This window comes from Homo sapiens, chromosome 6 (assembly GCF_000001405.40).
Source record: "Homo sapiens chromosome 6, GRCh38.p14 Primary Assembly".
NCBI classification, from domain to species: Eukaryota; Metazoa; Chordata; class Mammalia; order Primates; family Hominidae; genus Homo; species Homo sapiens.
This window is the reverse complement of record NC_000006.12, coordinates 46,217,257-46,236,867: the sequence shown is the minus strand read 5'-3', so window position 1 is coordinate 46,236,867 and position 19,611 is coordinate 46,217,257. Positions and strand designations below refer to the sequence as shown.

At 42.0% G+C, this 19,611-nt stretch overlaps 1 protein-coding gene and 1 long non-coding RNA gene across 7 annotated transcripts in view; one reads left to right on the top strand and one right to left on the bottom strand.

Moving 5' to 3' along the window:
• Positions 1 to 16,132, top strand: part of RCAN2 (regulator of calcineurin 2) — a 271,235-nt gene extending 255,103 nt beyond the window's left edge. For all 5 annotated transcript variants that reach the window (NM_001251973.2, XM_024446301.2, NM_001251974.2 and 2 more), the window contains one exon: positions 13,567 to 16,132. In NM_001251973.2, the coding sequence (NP_001238902.1) occupies positions 13,567 to 13,727 (161 nt within the window). In that variant the 3' untranslated portion in view covers positions 13,728 to 16,132. The remainder of the gene's footprint in view (positions 1 to 13,566) is intronic.
• LOC105375079 (uncharacterized) overlaps positions 1 to 17,563 on the bottom strand; it is a 48,136-nt gene extending 30,573 nt beyond the window's left edge. For both annotated transcript variants that reach the window (XR_001743802.3, XR_001743800.2), the window contains exon 1: positions 17,518 to 17,563. This is a non-coding gene — a long non-coding RNA (uncharacterized LOC105375079). The remainder of the gene's footprint in view (positions 1 to 17,517) is intronic.

Genomic DNA, 19,611 nt, shown 5'->3' with positions numbered 1-19,611 from the left:
GTAAGTGCTCCATAAGCAATTGTTATTATGTTTAGGGAATGTAGTGAGTTTCTATGACACCTACTGTGTGCTAGCACTGATAGAATGCTGATAAGAGGATAGATGCTTGCCTTTAAATGGTTTTCCACTTAGTTGAAAAGCTAAAACTTACACAAGTTAAACTATAGGAAGAATATTCACGTGTGAGTACATACCAGACATCACTCAAGTATGTTAGTAATGACCAAGCGTGATGCTCTTCATAAATCAATCACATATTCATTGAACACTAATGTGTACCTTAAGCTGCAGCAGTCACAAAAGGTTAAGTCTTGACTTCAGTGGTTTGGAATATAACACATTGCTAGAGGAAATAACTAATGAATAATATCAAAGGTGATATAATTAAGCATTATAAATGGGTGTTTCTATCTCAAAAAAAAAAAAAGAAAATCAGAGATCTCATTAAAACGGCAACATAAGATTTTCTGTCTCATGGAAATAGAGGTATAGAAAAGGTTAGGAAAGAGGAAAAAAAGGAGAGAAAATTGCCAGTGATGACAGAGAAAGGGGAAGTGGTGGTTGGAGGAAAAAGGATAGGTTCATTTTGAAGACCAGATTATATGATACCCACTACCGTGGGATGCAGCCTGTTATCGTTCACCCCTTACTGCTCTTTGCAATGGTGTCTCCACTGAGGAAAAGCTCTTTGCAATTGTTCAGCTGCTTAATTCTTTGACTATTGTGTGATGTAATCAGATTAGTTAATCATACTGGAAACCAGAAATTACTTGGGGGCAACAGTGGCCAAAATAATATCGCCCTAAATAATCATAGCATGCATCTTGGGAGAGGGCTTTATCAAGTATTTGACACATATGTCTGTTTCCTAGTATCCCAGTGATATGAGTGTTGTTCTCATTGATGAGGAAAACTGAGATTCAGAAATGTTATATAACTTTCTCAGAGTCACATTACTCATATGTGATAAGGTGATCTCTCCAACTGTTGTCTTAGGTGGCTTATTCTGGCACGGAAGTTAGTTCCTGTCGTGGGGAAACCAGCAAAGAGTATTTTGGGTGGGAGGGTTAGTCATGGATAGGGTTATAACAAGGGGTGTGTAGGGAAGGAGCATGCAGAGAAGGTTTGACAAGCAATGTTCAATAGTGCTTGGTGACTGATTACAAATGATGAAAGAGAGAGAAAATTCAAGGATGACTGACTCTAAGGATTTGCACCTAGAAGGCTGGAAGAATGATGGCAATTCTAAGAAGCGTGATAGCTGGTAACGGAACCTAGATTGGCAGAGAAAATAATTCTACTTTAGACATGTGAGTTTGGAAAAGAGTAGTCAACTTGTAGAGAGACGTCAGTAAGTCAGGATGCATGTGTGAGATCAGGCCTGGATATGTAGCTCCTCATAGGGCAGGAACTGGGGCTCATGATGAGCAAGAGAAAGAATGTCCTGGAAAGAAGGGCAGCAGGTGCTGAGCAGAGCAAAGCTTGGCCTTGCCTGTTAGATGTGGCTGTATTTTCAAAGCCTCTAGTTCTGGGATTCTATCTATTGCTTGGCAGTACACATACAAAGACTTTGTCCAGCAGGCACTAAACTTATAGGAAGATTTCCCCTTCCTTCCATCATAGAGTTTTTCTTATTAGGAATCTAAATAATGAATCTCAAAAGCTTCTCTAATACATAGACATGTAGCTCTGTTTCATCTCTCTACCTTTACCTTGTCTGAATTTTGCTGATTTTTATAAACTTTGCATAATCATACTGATTATTTTAGAAAGAATTTAAGAGGTGGCCAAGTCATGGCCCGTAAGCCAAGGTGGCATGAGAGAGAAACTCAGTGGCACTTGGACTGCCAGCCACCAACACATTTCTCTGCAATTGTGGCAAGTGAGGTTGTACCATGTCACCAAGTTTCCCAGCCCCTAGTCAGCACAGGGACTCACCCTCCTCCCTCCTGAGAATGGGAAACAGCCCATGGGCACCCTCACTCCCTCCTCCAGTCATAGAGGAATTGGGACATTGTCACAAACCTGTCTCCAGCCACTTGGGAAAAGACGAGACAGAACTTTGGCATCTAATTTAAGCAATGGCCAAACCTCAGTCAGTTTCAAAGGCCTGAATGAGAATTTAACGTTAACCATGTGCTAAAAGGTTTTTCATTTAATTGGCTGAAAGTTTGTTTCATGGAATAGGTAGAAAACCCTGACCAATGCACTTGTTGGTGACTTTTGGTCCTGGCCTCCTTTCTGCACACAAAGGAGAGGACAGTTTCAATACTGGCAGAGGAGTGAGCATGTGATGGGTCAACCCTCTGCTTGTCTTTTCAGAGAAATGCTGGTTCCATTGGTCTGTTCTCACTGCACCATGGTGGGACCTCCCACCCTGTGTGGGTAAGATTTGACAGACTCTCTGTCCCCAGACAAGCCCAGTTGGTCCATGTGCCTGGTGACAGCATTGACGTCAGCCCTTGTGGTAGAGGAAATAGTTGAAGCCCAAAGGGAAAAAGAGGCCAAAAAAAGAAAAATTCAATCCAACAAGACCAAAGCTATTTCTTTTTATTTTGTGGTTCTCAGCAGCTGTTAAGCTTTGCTGGCTTTCGATAGTAAGAAAGTGTCCAAGAATAGAACAGTGCAATGTCAGAGTTAATGGGATCACAGCAATAAAATGTCTCTACTACTGAGCAATCTGATGGTATTAAGTTGATGTGGAAGTTGCTTTGCACCCTGCACACAGAGTGGACTCCCTGCTTGCCCTCCCATTCTGAGTGTTCCCCCAACACACCTATTCTGAGAGGAAAGCAACCACTTCTAAAGTGGTAAATGCATTGCAAAAGAAGTGTCTTCAGGCCGGGCACGGTGGCTCACGCCTGTAATCTCAGCACTTTGGGAGGCTGAGGCAGGTGGATTACCTGAGGTCAGGAGTTCAAGACCAGTCTGGCCAATATGGTGAAACCCCGTCTCTACTAAAAATACAAAAAATTAGCCGGGTGTGATCGTAGGTGCCTGTAATCCCAGCTACTCGAGAGGCTGAGGCAGGAGAATCGTTTGAACCCAGGAGGCAGAGGTTGCGGTGAGCCAAGATCGTGCCATTGCACTCTCCAGCCTGGGCAACAAGAGCAAAACACCATCTCAAGAAAAAAAAAAAAAAAAAAGAAGTGTTCTTCATCTCAGCCAGGGAAAAAAGGTTTAATCAAAGGCCTAGCTTTGTTAGGTGTATTTTATTACAATTTCTTTAAAATGGCCAGCTTCTTGCTAACAGATGGAAAAAGGGGAAGGGTGTCTGAGATCTCCGAATTCTCTGGCCTGAGCCTTGCCCTCATCTCAACCCCAGGTTCTGGGTCTCTGCTGCAGATTCCTTTCTATTCCTCATTTGAGGATGACAGAGGCCATCCCCCTTTCCTCAATGCACTCCCCATCCACAGAGCAATGAATGAAACTACAGTGGCCACCAGTGTTTCTTCAAAAGGGGCTTCCCCTGCAAATGTAAGAACTTAAAAAAAAATTCTATACATAAAAACAAGAATCACCACCATATTTGATGACTCAGCAAACATTTCTTTCTCTGTCTCTCTTTGGATGGTGTCTTTCATTCAGCATTGCAAGAAGTTCCTGAAGGAAAGACAAAATTTGAGAAACCCTGGATGCGGTTAACTCAATCATTGTTCACCGTGGAACTTTGAGTGACTTGATGTTCTCTCCTGAACAACAATGAGAACACCAAAGATGAACGGGAGCTGGTGGCTGGGAGCGCCAGAGAAGCCATCCAGGATTCCTTACCTCCTTTCCTTTATGCATTCTCAGCTTCCATCCCTCCATTATCCTCTACCTGCACTGTTACCATTTACCATTTTCCAGCAAAAAAATATGTAGAATGGAGGAAGGGAGGGGGCACATTGTGTGTGTGCCAGTATCCTCATGGGGCCACAGCCTCTTGCTGGGAGTTCCATGTAACCGTCACCACCCAAACACAGAAGCACTGAGAAGCACTTAGGGCTGATGGGTACACATGTAGATTCTACTAAATCGGAATTTGCAGGTTTGCTTCCCTATACTGGTAAACTCTTTTTTTTTTTTTTTTTTTTTGAGACAGTCTTGCTGTGTGGCCCAGGCTGGAGTGCAGTGGCATGACCTCAGCTCACTGCAACTACCACTTCCTGGGTTTAAGTGATTCTCATGCCTCAGCCTCCGCAGTAGCTGGGACTTCAGGCATGCACCACCATGCCCAGCTAATTTTTGTATTTTTAGTAGAGGTGGGGGTTTCCCCATGTTGACCAGGCTGGTCTTGAACTTCCAACCTCAAGTGACCTGCCCACCTCAGCCTCCCAAAGTGCTGGCATTACAGGCATGAGACACCACGCCCGACCTAAACTCTTTTTTTAATGAGCACTCCCAGTTAATTGTCAGTGTTTAAGAACCACTGCTTAGAGACACCCCCAACCAGAGCTGCCCACTCTGACCCAGAGCCTTTGATACAACCCTCAGATAAAGCTGGTTTGTTGTAGATTTCTCTCCTTAGCAATGTCTGCAGATTATCTGTTTACCCGGGGACATGGATTAAAATGCCAAAATATTTTAGAGAGAACAGAACCCACACAATTAAGTGAACCTTACTTAGCATCGATACATACAGCACTATACCGCATATGCGTAGTTTGCAACTTCCCCATGGATTACAGCGTGCTGGGTTAGTGCCAACTATCAATTCTTGCTCCGCAGGGCAGGATAGCAAAGTGATCAGGCAGTCATCTCCTTCCTGGGTCTCCCCTGTATCCCTGCTCCTGTCACTGTCTTCTTCTGTATCAGACTGGGCCACATCAGCTTGCTTGTATCAGAGATTCAATGCTTGTTGATGCAGTTCTCCCTGCCTATGATTTCACCACTTCTAGACTTTAAATACAGAGTCATATCAGCCATACTTCAATGGCTGTGGCTGGTTCTATTTCTCTGTACTATCAATATCCAGGGAAATGCTGGAGTTGTAACACTCTATTTCTGTGAAATATTTGCTGCCCTCACCCAGGAAAGCCTTTACTCTACACAGCAGGATGTCAAGGGCAAGAGGTGCCTAATACAGACTTCTCTGACTCTTAACTGAATGAGCACACTCTCAGCAGGGTATGGCTGTGTTCGTTTGCTAGGGTTGCCATAACAAAATGCAACAAACCTCCGGGCGTGGTGGCTCACACCTGTAATCCCAGCACTTTGGGAGGCCAAGGCGGGTGGATCACCTGAGATCAGGAGTTCGAGACCAGCCTGACCAACATGGTGAAACTCCGTCTCTACTAAAAATACAAAAATTAGCCAGGCACGGTGGCGTGCACCTGTAATCCCAGCTACTAGGGAGGCTGAGGCAAGAGAATTGCTTGAACCCAGGAGGCAGAGGTTGCAGTGAGCTGAGATCACACCACTGCACTCCAGCCTGGGCAGCAGAGCAGGACTCTGACTCAAAAAAAAAAAAAAATGCCACAAACCGAGTGGCATTTATGACAAAAATTTATAGACTCACCGTTCTGGAAGTTAGAAGTTCAAGTCAAGGTGTACACAGGACCATGCTGTCTCTGAAGGTGTCAGGAAAGGATCTGTTCCTGGCCTGTCGTAGCTTTGGGTAGTTCCTTGGCTTATGGCTGCATAACCTCAGTCTTCACATGGCATTCTCCCTATGTATATGTCAATGTCCAAACTTCCTTTTTCTATAAGGGTGCTAGTCGTATTGATGTAGAGCCCACCCTAATGACCTCATCTTAATTTGATCATCTGCAAAGACCTTAGGTCCAAATAAAGTTACTTTCACAGCTACTAGAGGTTAGTTAGGACCTCAACATCTTTTGAGGGGACTCAATTCAACCAATAACAATGGCTGACTCTGAATGTCTACATCCTTCCCAGCATCACTTAGAAGGGCTTCGATATTTATTGCATTATCAGTGTTCCTCATTCCCTAACGTCAGCACCCAGAATTTAAAACTGTACCTTGGAGAGAGGTTCCAAGATGGCCGGATAGGAAGAGCTCCAGTCTACAGCTCCCAGCGTGAGTGATGCAGAAGATGGGTGATTTCTGCATTTCCAACTGAGGTACCAGGTTCATCTCACTGGGGCTTGTTGGACAGTGGGTGCAGCCCACAGAGCAGGGTGGGGCATCACCTCACCCAGGAAGCACTAGGGGTTGGGGAATTCCCTTTCCTAGCCAAGGGAAGCCGTGACAGATGGTACCTGGAAAGTCGGGTCACTCCCACCCTAATACTGTGCTTTTCCAATGGTCTTAGCAAACGGCACACCAGGAGATTATATCCTGTGCCTGGCTTGGAGGGTGCCATGCCCATGGAGCCTCACTCACTGCTAGCACAGCAGTCTGAGATCAAACTGCAAGGTGGCAGGGAGGCTGTGAGGAGGGGCATCCACCATTGCTGAGGCTTGAGTAGATAAACAAAGCAGCCAGGAAGCTCAAACTGGGTGGAGCCCACTGCAGCTCAAGGAGGCCTGCCTGCCTCTGTAGACTCCACCTCTGGGGGTAGGGCATAGCTGAACAAAAGGCAGCAGAAACTTCTTCAGACTTGCACATCCCTGTCTGACAGCATTGAAGACAGTAGTGGTTCTCCAAGCACGGAGTTGGAGATCTGAGTATGGAGACTGCCTCCTCAAGTGGTTCCCTGACCCCTGAGTAGCCTAACTGGGAGACACCTCCAAGTAGGGGCCAACTGACACCTCATACAGCCAGGTGCCCCTCTGAGACGAAGCTTCCAGAGGAAGGATCAGGCAGCAACATTTGCCGCTCTGCAATATTTGTTGTTCTGCAGCCTCCGCTGGTGATACCCAGGCAAACAGGGTCTGGAGTGGACCTCCAGCAAACTCCAACAGACCTGCAGCTGAGGGTCCTGACTGTTAGAAGGAAAACTAACAAACAGAAAGGACCTCCACACCAAAACCCCATCTGTACGTTACCATCATCAAAGACCAAAGGTAGATAAAACCACAAAGATGGGGAGAAACCAGAGCAGAAAAGCTGAAAATTCTAAAAATCAGAGCACCTCTTCTCCTCCAAAGGAACGCAGCTCCTCACCAGCAATGGAACAAAGCTGGATGGAGAATGACTTTGACGAGTTGAGAGAAGAAGGCTTCAGATGATTGGTAAGAACAAACTTCTCCAAGCTAAAGGAGGAAGTTCGAACCCATCACAAAGAAGCTAAAAACCTTGAAAAAAGATTAGACAAATGGCTAACTAGAATAAACAGCATAGAGAAGACGTTAAATGACCTGATGGAGCTGAAAACCATGGCAAGAGAACTATGTGATGCATACAAAAGCTTCAGTAGCCAATTTGATCAGGTGGAAGAAAGGGTATCAGTGATTGAAGATCAAATGAATGAAATGAAGCGAGAAGAGAAGTTTAGAGAAAAAAGAATAAAAAGAAATGAACAAGCCTCCAAGAAATAAGCGACTATGTGAAAAGACCAAATCTACATCTGATTGGTGTGCCTGAAAGTGACGGGGAGAATGGAACCAAGTTGGAAAACACTCTTCAGGATATCAGCCAGGAGAACTTCCCCAACCTAGCAAGTCAGGCCAACATTCAAATTCAGGAAATACAGAGAACGCCACAAAGATACTCCATGAGAAGAGCAACTCCAAGAAACATAATTGTCAGATTCTCCAAAGTTGAAATGAAGGAAAAAATGTTAAGGGCAGCAAGAAAGAAAGGTCAGGTTACCCACAAAGGAAAGCCCACCAGACTAACAGCTGATCTCTCAGCAGAAACTCTACAAGCCAGAAGAGAGTGGGCGCCAATATTCAACATTCTTAAAGAGAAGAATTTTCAACCCAGAATTTCATATCCAGCCAAACTAAGCTTCATAAGTGAAGGAGAAATAAAATACTTTACAGACAAGCAAATGCTGAGAGATTTTGTCATCACCAGGCCTGCCCTAAAAGAGCTCCTGAAGGAAGCACTAAACATGGAAAGGAACAACTGGTACCAGCCACTGCAAAAACATGCCAAACTGTAAAGACCATCGATGCTAGGAAGAAACTGCATCAACTAATGAACAAAATAACCAGCTAACATCATAATGACAGGATCAAATTCACACATAACAATGTTAAATGTAAATGGGCTAAATGCTCCAATTAAAAGACACAGACTGGCAAATTGGATAAAGAGTCAAGACCCATCAGTGTGCTGTATTCAGGAGACCCATCTCACGTGCGGAGACACACATAGGCTCAAAATAAAGAGATGGAGGAAGATCTACCAAGCAAATAGAAAACAAAAAAAAAGCAGGGGTTGCAATCCTAGTCTCTGATAAAACAGACTTTAAACCAACAAAGACCAAAAGATACAAAGAAGGCCATTACATAATGGTAAAGGGATCAATTCAACAAGAAGAGCTAACTATCCTAAATATATATGCACCCAATACAGGAGCACCCAGATTCATAAAGCAAGTCCTTACAGACCTAAAAGAGACTTAGACTCCCACACAATAATAATGAGAGACTTTAACACCCCACTGTCAACATTAGACAGATCAACGAGAGAGAAAGTTAACAAGGATATCCAGGAATAGAATTCAGCTCTGCACCAAGCAGACCTAATAGACATCTACAGAACTCTCCACCCCAAATCAACAGAATATACATTCTTCTCAGCACCACATTGCACTTATTCTAAAATTGACCACATAGTTGGAAGTAAGGCACTCCTCAGCAAATGTAAAAGAACAGAAATTATAACAAACTGTCTCTCAGACCACAGTGCAATCAAACTAGAATTCAGGATTAAGAAACTGACCAAAAACCACTCAACTTCATGGAAACTGATCAACCTGCTCCTGAATGATTACTGGGTACATAAGGAAATGAAGGCAGAAACAAAGATGTTCTTTGAAACCAATGAGAACAAAGACACAACATACCAGAATCTCTGGGACACATTTAAAGCAGTGTGTAGAGGGAAATTTATAGCACTAAATGCCCACAAGAGAAAGCAGGAAAGATCTAAAATTGACACCCTAACATCACAATTAAAAGAATTAGACAAGCAAGAGCAAACACATTCAAAAGCTAGCAGAAGGCTAAGATCAGAGCAGAACTGAAGGAGATAGGGACACAAAAAAACCCTTCAAAAAATTAATGAATCCGGGATCTGGTTTTTTGAAAAGATCAACAAAATTGATAGACCACTAGCAAGACTAATAAAGAAGAAAAGAGAGAAGAATCAAATAGATGCAATAAATATGATAAAGGGGATATCACAACCATTCCCACAGAAATACAAACTACCATCAGAGAATACTATAAACACTCTACGCAAATAAACTAGAAAATCTAGAAGATATGGATAAATTCCTGGACACATACACCCTCCCAAGACTTAAACAGAAAGAAGTTGAATCCCTGAATAGACCAATAACAGGCTCTGAAATTGAGGCAATAATTGATAGCCTACGAACCAAAAAAAGTCCAGAACCAGATGTATTCACAGCCAAATTCTACCAGAGGTACAAGGAAAAGCTGGTACCATTCCTTCTGAAATTATTCCAGTAATAGAAAAAGAGGAATCCTCCCTAACTAATTTTATGAGGCCAGCATCATCCTGATACCAAAGCCTGGCAGAGACACAACGAAAAAAGAGAATTTTAGACCAATATCCCTGATGAACATCAATGCAAAAATCCTCAATTAAATAGTGGCAAACCGAATCCAGCAGCACATCAAAAAGCTTATCCACCATGATCAAGTGGGCTTCATCCCTGAGATGCAAGGCTGGTTCAACATGTGCAAATCAATAAACATAATCCATCATATAAATAGAACCAAAGACAAAAACCACATGATTATCTCAATAGATGCAGAAAAGGCCTTTGACAAAATTCAACAGCCCTTCATGCTAAAAACTCTCAATAAATTAGGTATTGATGGAACATATCTCAAAAGTAATAAGAGTTATTTATGACAAACCCACAGCTAATATCATACTGAATGGGCAAAAACTGGAAGCATTCCCTTTGAAAACTGGCACAAGACAGGGATGCCCTCTCTCACCACTCCTATTCAACATAGTGTTGGAAGTTCTGGCTAGGGCAATCAGGCAGGAGAAAGAAATAAAGGGTATTCAATTAGGAAAAGAGGAAGTCAAATTGTCTCTGTTTCCAGATGACATGATTGTATATTTAGAAAACCCCATCATCTCAGCCCAAAATCCCCTTAAGCTGATAAGCAACTTCAGCAAAGTCTCAGGATACAAAATCAATGTGCAAAAATCACAAGCATTCATATACACCAATAACCAACAAACAGAGAGCCAAATCATGAGTAAACTCCCATTCACAATTTCTTCAAAGAGAATAAAATACCTAGGAATTCAACTTAGAAGGGATGTGAAGGACCTCTTCAAGAAGAACTACAAACCACTGCTCAATGAAATAAAAAAGGACACAAACAAATGGAAGAACATTCCATGCTCATGGATAGGAAGAATCAATATCATGAAAATGGCCATACTGCCCAAGGTAATTTATAGATTCGATGCCATCCCCATCAAGCTACCAAGGACTTTCTTCACAGAACTGGAAAAACTACTTTAAAGTTCATATGGAACGAAAAAAGAGCTCACATTGCCAAGACAATCCTAAGCCAAAAGAACAAACCTGGAGGCATCACGCTACCTGACTTCAAACTATACTACAAGTCTACAGTAACCAAAATAGCACGGTACTGGTACCAAAATGGAGATATAGACCAATGGAACAGAACAGAGCCCTCAGAAACAATACCACATATCTACAACCATCTGATCCTTGACAAACCTGACAAAAACAAGCAATGGGGAAAGGATTCCCTATTTAATAAATGGTGCTGAGAAAACTGGCTAGCCATATGTAGAAAGGTGAAACTGGATCCCTTCCTCCTACTTTATACACAAATTAATTCAAGATGGATTAAAGACTTAAATGTTAGACCTAAAACCATAAAAACCCTAGAAGAAAACCTAGGCAATACCATTCAGGACATAGGCATGGGCAAGGACTTCATGACTGAAACACCAGAAGCAATGGCAACAAAAGCCAAAATTGACAAATGGGATCTAATTAAACTAAAGAGCTTCTGCACAGCAAAAGAAACTACCATCAGAGTGAGCAGGCAACCTACAGATTGGGAGAAAATTTTTACAATCTACCCATGTGACAAAGGGCTAATATCCAGAATCTACAAAGAACTTAAACAAATTTACAAGAAAAAAAATCAAACAACCCCATCAAAAAGTGGGAAAATTATATGAACAGACACTTCTCAAAAGATGACATTTATGCAGCCAACAGACACATGAAAAAGTGCTCATCATCACTGGCCATCAGAGAAATGCAAATCAAAACCACAATGAAATACCATCTCACACCAGTTAGAATGGTGATCATTAAAAAGTCAGGAAACAACAGGTGCTGGAGAGGATGTGGAGAAATAGGAACACTTTTACACTGTTGGTGGGACTGTAAACTAGTTCAGCCTTTGTGGAAGACAGTGTGGCAATTCCTCAAGGATCTAGAACTAGAAATACCATTTGACCCAGCCATCCCATTACTGGGTATATACCCAAAGGATTATAAATCATGCTGCTATAAAGACACATGCACACATATGTTTATTGTGGCACTATTCACAATAGCAAAGACTTGGAACCAACCCAAATGTCCATCAATGATAGACTGGATTAAGAAAAGGTGGCACATATGCACCATGGAATACTATGCAGCCATAAAAAAGGATGAGTTCATGTCCTTTGTAGGGACACGGATGAAGCTGGAAACCATCATTCTCAGCAAACTATCACAAGGACAGAAAGCCAAACACCACATATTCTCACTCATAGGTGGGAATTGAACAATGAGAACACTTGGACACAGGGTGGGGAACATCACACACTGGGGCCTGTCATGGGGTGGGGGAAGGGGGGGAGGGATAGCATTAGGAGATATGTAAATGACGAGTTAACAGGTGTAGCACACCAACATGGCACATGTATACATATGTAACAAACCTGCACATTGTGCACATGTACCCTAGAAGTTAAAGTATAATAAAAAAAAAAAAACTGTACCTTGTGAAAGTTTGCTATTTGCACCATTAAGGCTTACCAAGATGTGCACAGTAGCACATAATTAGTGCCCTGTCACTGGAACTGACAATACTTGCTCCAGCCATCCAGTGGAGGCACTTAGACTGAGAATAGCAGATTCCTGGGCTGCATCGGGTCTAGCTTTGATCCTGGAAGAAGGTCAGGATTTAGGGAACTCTGGAGGGGAAGTGAGGCTATGCGAAGTAAAAGTAGCTATTTTGGTGGCCCTAAGAATGTAGCTGTCATGATTAGGGGCCAACAGATAAACCAGTTTGACCAAAACAAAGAAGGAACTGATGCAGGTAGTGATGGAAAAGATTGGTGAGAGATTACGCAGGGTCTTCTGTGCTAGACTACAAAATTTATACTTGATCTTGTGAGATCTAGAGAGCCACTAACCAGGAGGATATCTGGGAGTTATTGTTTTTGGAAGATTTATCTTTTGATCCATGAAAGATGGGAAGTGAAGGATGGGATGTCCGGAGAGGATTAAGATTAGTATGTCAACAATGAAGTTGAAAAGTTACAAGCATGCAGGTTGAGAATACCCCCTCCTCTTACCCCACCACCTGGAGTCCTTCCGCTTGTCTTTTAGACCCAGATCAGCTGCCAGTCCACTAGGAAGCCTTTCAGAGTTACTTACCATTTGATGCCATAGTCCTTAACATACATTGCCACCATAGTGCTCACCATTTTATATTGTGATATGTTCTGTCTCCACATGTCTCCACTGGACTGTGCACTTGTGAAAGGCACAAATACTTTTTATTCTACCTTGTAGCCTTTATGAACAGCAATAGACCACGAGAGATGCTCAAGAAACATCTAATGAAGCAACAGAAAGACAGAAAGCCAGTCAGCTAACAGCCATTTGACTGTAATATGAGCCAGTCAAGAATGTAGACACTTGGAACTAGAAAGGGCCTTGATGGTCATCTAACCCAGTTACCCAGTAACCACTGAATCCTGGGCATGTGATAACCCCACCTTATTCCATCCTGGAGCAGCTCTGGCTGTAAGAAGTGTAGAGCTGGAGGGGAACTCAGAAACTACCATATTCAAAAGATAAAGAAGTGAAGTGATTGGCCCAAGGTTGCTCAAAAACTAGCAGCAAAGTTGGAAAATAGAAGAGAAACTAATACGACTAACTGCCAAGTCCATCCAGTCCTCGCCACCATCCTACAGAGTGGAAGTATTACCATGTTGAAATTTACGGTAAAGGATGTGGAGGCTAAGAGGTATTGAGTGGCTTGTTTGGGGTTGCACAGTTGATAAGTGGCAGAGCCAGGATAGGAGGAAATTGATCTCTTTCCACTTGCCAACACCCTGTGCCATCCCTGCATAAGATCACAGGCTTCCTGAGACCCTGGAAAATGCTCCTGTCATTTCCTAAGCAGACCCTGCTCCAGGATCTCTTTTGAAATCCCCCCCTCTTTCTCACTTCCATTTTTCTTGCTTTTCAGGAGAGAAGTATGAGCTCCATGCAGGGACTGAGTCCACCCCAAGTGTCGTCGTGCACGTGTGCGACAGTGACATAGAGGAAGAAGAGGACCCAAAGACTTCCCCAAAGCCAAAAATCATCCAAACTCGGCGTCCTGGCCTGCCACCCTCCGTGTCCAACTGAGCTGCCTGCTCCTTCTCGATAATAGCCGTCTCCTCTTTATCATGCTTTTTCCCCCTGTTGTTTGTCAAAAAAAATTGCCTTTAAATTCCTGGGTGTTTGGTTGTTTGAGATTCCTTCCTTGTTATCAAGCCTCTCGGACAAAAGGGCTAGGAAAAGGTGATATGTCTCCTGATCATATCATACCCATTAAGTATAACCCATTATTTAGAAGGTTCTAGGGAAAAAAGTAGTATTTTCTTATTAAACAATCAGCACAGCCTATATCTTTGTTCTCTCATGTTGATCCAAGCCAGAGACATCAGTAACAAATAGCACCTGTGTTGTTTGTGAGCTGTTTCAGTCCCAGTCCTGATGTGTGTGCGTTGTTCTCTCCTGGCCACTTAAATAGGACCATATGTAAACTTGACTTTGACTGCATGAGATATCCCTATCTGGTCTCACTCAGTCCTCTGCATCCCAACATTCCCAGGACATGCATGATCACCAGCATTTATTTTCATTATTTGAGGATATCTTATAACTCACAGATTGTCAGCATCCAGCCATGTCCTATCTAGATTAGGAAAATGATCAGAATATTCCAGCTCAACAAGTCTGGGTATATTCACTATTGTGAGTCAATACACCATAGCTCTGTTGAAATTCCTGGAGGCAAAATTGACCTTGGCCCCAAAGATATTCCTCAATAGATTTCAAACACCACTCCCCTGTAGAACTCTCCCAGCCTCGTTGGGGAGGCTTGTCCAGGGTGATAGAGACTGATTTCAGACAAACCTATTTATTACAAAAGTTTCATGGTGTCTGAATGATTGTTTTCTCTCTTTGTATATTTGTACAAATGTTTCAGCTGTGCTTTTAAAAAATCTGGATGTTTTTTATTTAGTGATTGTTCGACAATTAGCTGCTTCAAAACATAATGTGCATTGCTTATGAATGCCTTCATATACTAATACAGATACTCTGATAATATTACACTCTAATAAGGATAATGCTGAATTTTGAAAGGACACAAAACATCTAATGCCAATATATACATGATTAGCCAACATCTTTGCTATCAAGACCACTTGTTTTTAAATAAAGATGCAAGTGTCAGTTGTAGATTATTGGGATGAAGCTAAATCCCCAGAATGCAGCAGCAGCTGAGCATGTTAAAATGGGGAAGGATGATAGCTACATGTATGCCGGTCCTACTCACGCGACACCCGTGTGCTCAAAAAAGTTATTTGTTTTTGTTACGTGTGATTTTTCTATTTCTCTAGCCCAAAGTGCATTACAGAAGATACACCTATAGAACCATTACCTTCTGCTATGTGTGCCAGGCCTCATCTACTCCTGTACATTAATGAATTACTTTAGATGCAAACGCAGATTACAATGGAGTGGGGAAGTACTTTCATTACCCAAGCCTCAGAAAAACACACAAGAACAATAACACAGCAAACAGATTGAGGGATTGTTGTGGTTTTTGACTAAGGTGTATGTTAGTTTCATCAGAAACTTAAAACATAGACTGATCACTCAGAAATTAAAGTCCGTTTTACTGTGAATATAGCAATATAGTACTGGACACAGTACTGGTGAAACTGAGGAGAGCATTGCTTGTAAAATCCTGAGTTTCCATAAGGAAAATGAAAACTCCTTTTAAAAATAAAATCTGAGGAGTGTACAATAAGCATATGCTTTGACTTTCCTTTGCTGTGGAGGTTTTTGGTTTTTCATTGATGATAAACGACTACAGACTTAGTAGTGGAGAAATGGTGTCCTCTAGTGGAAGAAATAGTAGGCTCCGCTATTCAGATGCAGAGCACTGCAGCATCCAGCCTTTCAAAGCTGACTCTTCTCAATCATCTGTGGGTCATTTGACTTGATTTTTTAAGCTACCCTGAATTTCCAGAATGCAGGTTCTAAAGAAATCTAGATGAGAGAAAGTATTTGAAAATGATTTTTAAATGTTTTTTAAAAGACACATCTGACATTTTTAACAACTTAGTAAAAGTTGAAATGACCATTCTGTGTAGTCATAAAAGAAACACAATGAAGTGTATGGCCTCTGGAGTTAGTCTTAGTAAAACTTATTGCTCTGTGTCAATGTTAACCTGTCTCAGATCAAGTAATTCTTTCACTAGGTTGGGTTTGGGGAGGGGGGAAAAGAGGGGCTTTTCCTAGGAGAACGATAAGAAATGGAAAGACTCCTTGAAGTGTTGCAAGGGAACCTCCTAGCACTGTGAAAGTCAGAATCGCCTCAGCATTTCCATGACGCACATTATGCAAATCTCTTTAGCACTATTTTAAGTTTGAAAACTTTAACAATGAAGGGGAAGGGGAAGATTTCCACCAACTGAATCATTTGTGCACGTGTATAGCTCAAAGAGCTTAGACTTCAAATATATCTGGTGAATGACTCTTTGTCCATGTGGTTTAATTTCTGTGTTGTCGACCTGAGTTGAATATTCTTGAGGGGTAATTGTGGGGGACTGCATTTCAACCTAGAGTTTTTCTAAGAAGTCCCCAACGTATGGGGTTAACCCATATACCTAGGCTCTTCCTGAAAGTGGGGGAAGCTGGTTGGCAGCCCTCTCTTGGGGGAAGGGGAATTTGAGCAGGGCCTGGAGGGCAGGGTTGGCCTCTGATAAGAGGAACTGGGAGAGCTCCCTGTTTTATTGCCATGTTTCAACATCTTGGTCCTAAAAGCCATTTCAAGTGTACTAAAAACCTCTTTTAATGTCTTCCCACTCTATTCTCTTGTTAAAAGCACTATAAGAGACCTGAGTTAGCAAAAAAATTATTATTCAGGAGAAAAGCACTATCATAATCTAAATGATTAATACATTAAATGCCATTAAAATGAAGAGCTTCTGTTCATCAGATGGGTATTAGGAGAATGAAAAGGGACAGCATCAGACTGGAAAAGGATATTTGAGACACATGTAGTTGTAAAATAAATTATATCCAAAATGTAAAAAGAAAACCCTACAAATAAGGAAAACAGACAATCCATTTCTTTGATCATCAAAAAATTTCAAAGGCACTTCATACAGGCAATTCACATACACACAGACATACACAAAATACCCAGATGACCCATTAGCATTCAAAAGATGCTCAATTTTATTGCTTATCTGACAAAAGCAAATGATAATCTCAGAGCTACTACACAGATCTATCAGAATGACTAAAATTAAGTCTGGAGAAATAAAAAGTTCTGGTAAGGATATGAAGGAAGGGGAACTGTCATGCACCACTGGTGGAGTGTCAACTGGTGCTCACTTCACAGCACTGTTTGGTAATATCTGCTAAAGCTAACATGCCTCTGGGAGCAATTCACTCCAGGGCATGCACCTAGCAGATACAAGTGCACACATCTATCAAAATACTTGTACAATAATGTCCCTAGCAAAGTTGTTCATCATAGCCATTAACTGGATACAGCCCAAATGTCCTTCAACTATAGAATAAACTGTGCTATCCTCACACAAAGGAATGTCACAAAGCAATAAGACACATAAACTAGTGGTACATATATGAACATGAATAGATCGCAAAATCATATTTTGAGCAAAAAAGAAAAACTAGACATGAAAAAAATACATAGTATATGACTCCTTTTAGCAAGCTAAGAAAGTCAAAACTGGCCTATATAAATAGAAATAATAGTGGCTATTATGAAAACACTTAGGACTGTAAGGTCCCCCAACACCACCCCCAAACTAAAAAAAGTGCTAAGAGTCCAAAGAAGGACTCAGACCTAAGTCCAGCATGAGGAGTAGATGAGTTTATTAGGACTTACATACGGGGCACTCTGGGATGGCGGCAGGATAGCTCTGGAGATCTGCCCCACCTCCCATCCATAAACTGCTTTTAAGCTAATTTCCTGGCTCTTTGCCTACGTGTTTGAACAATGAGACTGTTTTTCTTGGTAGTTCCTCAGAAACTCTCTGGGAGGTTTGGCTTCTCAGGGACACCTGCTCCTCAGCTCGGCACCAGGGTCTTGGCTCACTGTCCGGCCCTCAGAGTTCAGGCAACAGACTTATACCCTTCGGTAACCTGTTGGGGGACCTGTCACAGTACAGTGGCTACCTTTTGAATGGTACTGCCTGAGAGGAACCCTCTCATGTGGAAGCCTTCCAATGTGCCATCAATATTCTACATCTCGATCCTGATCTCCATATGGATGTATACCCATGTAAAATTCAGTTAAAATGTGTGCCATATACTACAGTAAGTTATACCTCAACTAAAACAAAAGCTGTTCTCCCTGAGGACAGAGAAGAAGGAGCCATTAGTTGTGATGGGGGTTTAGAATGTCCTCATACTAAAAACGTACGTCTCCCATCTCATGTCTGTGAGATATTTCCATATTTTCAAAGCCTTCATTTAAAAATCTATAAATAAGTGTTCCTTTTTAAATGAGAGAGCACAGGACTTAGGCTCTGGGTGAAACACTGTTCATTCAAGTAACAAACTGTGTGCCTGACACTGGGTTTTCAGTGGTGAACAAGGTAGCTTTTGTCCCTGCCATTTCAGGGAGTGGAGTCTAGCATGGAAAAGAGATAAGAAATAAACAAGCAAATAATGGCCACAAATTCTCATAGGTAAGTACAGTGAAGAAAACCAAAAGTACTCTATGAGAATAGAGAATAAAAGTGGAGGATCATAGTCAGGGAAGGCCTCTCTAAAGAGGTAACATTTAAGCCGACCTGGAGGCACTGGCCATGGAAATGCTGCGAGAAAAGCATTCCAGGCAGCAGGGCTGAAGGCTGTGACTCTGGAAAGGCCTTGTCTTGTCGTGTTGGAGGAGCCTGAAGGATTTTGTTGGTATGGCTGAGGCACAGGGAGTGAGGGTGAGCACAGTTTAGGATGAGGTTGGAAGGCAGGTGGCGGAGGAAGGCAGGCTCAGTAGAACCTATTATTAATAGGCCAGGCTAGGGGGTTTGAGTTCATTTTAAGGGTTTCAAAAAGGGAATTATATGACCCAATTCATTGGTAAATCCTAACACAAACAAGAAGTTTCCTAATACAAAGCTACAGCCCAAAATGTCCAGATCCTCTGTAGCACTGGGGCTTGACGGGTCTTGCCCACATTAGGCTTGAAGATAGCTTTTGATAGCCTCGTGCTCCTCACTGCAATCCTATCTATTAACACCAGAAGAATTCTCAATATCCAACATCAATATGCAGTGTCTTGTGGTTCTAAAGTTTTTTTTTACTTCCCCTCCCCACGTCATTTAGAAAGCCTCAATGCAGAAAAAGGGGAACAGAGCAGGTGATAAAGGATGATAAGTCAGTCAGTGATTCAGGGAAACATTCATTTAGCTGCTGGTACAGAGTGTCCCTGCCAGAAGCCACCACGCTGAGCGTCATTGAACATTTGGCAGCCTTTCCCCTTAAATTTATGCAATCTGAGAAAGGGAAAATTTCAAGCAAAAAGTTTTCTGTCAAGCTCATTCATCTGCACCTTTCAAAGAAAGTCTGGGCAAATGTTTTTGGAGTTGATTCATGAGCTTTTTATGTCTCTAAAAGGAAGCCATATTTAAGGTTAGTCGTGTGTATGTGTACGCAAGCACATTTGGTACAGGTTGGAAATAGGAAATCCAAAATAGGCAGAAATGGATGAAACACTTTGTGCTAAAAAATTCATCCACAATACCTCCTTGGTGCTTTTGTGTTATTTTCCATTCTCAACCAATAATTGAGTTAGAAAACTTTTAGGGTTGGACAGGACTATGGGGCCTCCTTGACTAGTTGCTATCATTAGGAAAATCATTACTGTTCCCCAAACAATCTTTGGATTTGCCAGTAGGGTATTTTATTCTTAAAACAAGATTTATAGTTTCCGTACAAAGCTGCCAAGTTCAACACCTTGATAATCCATCTGATGTGC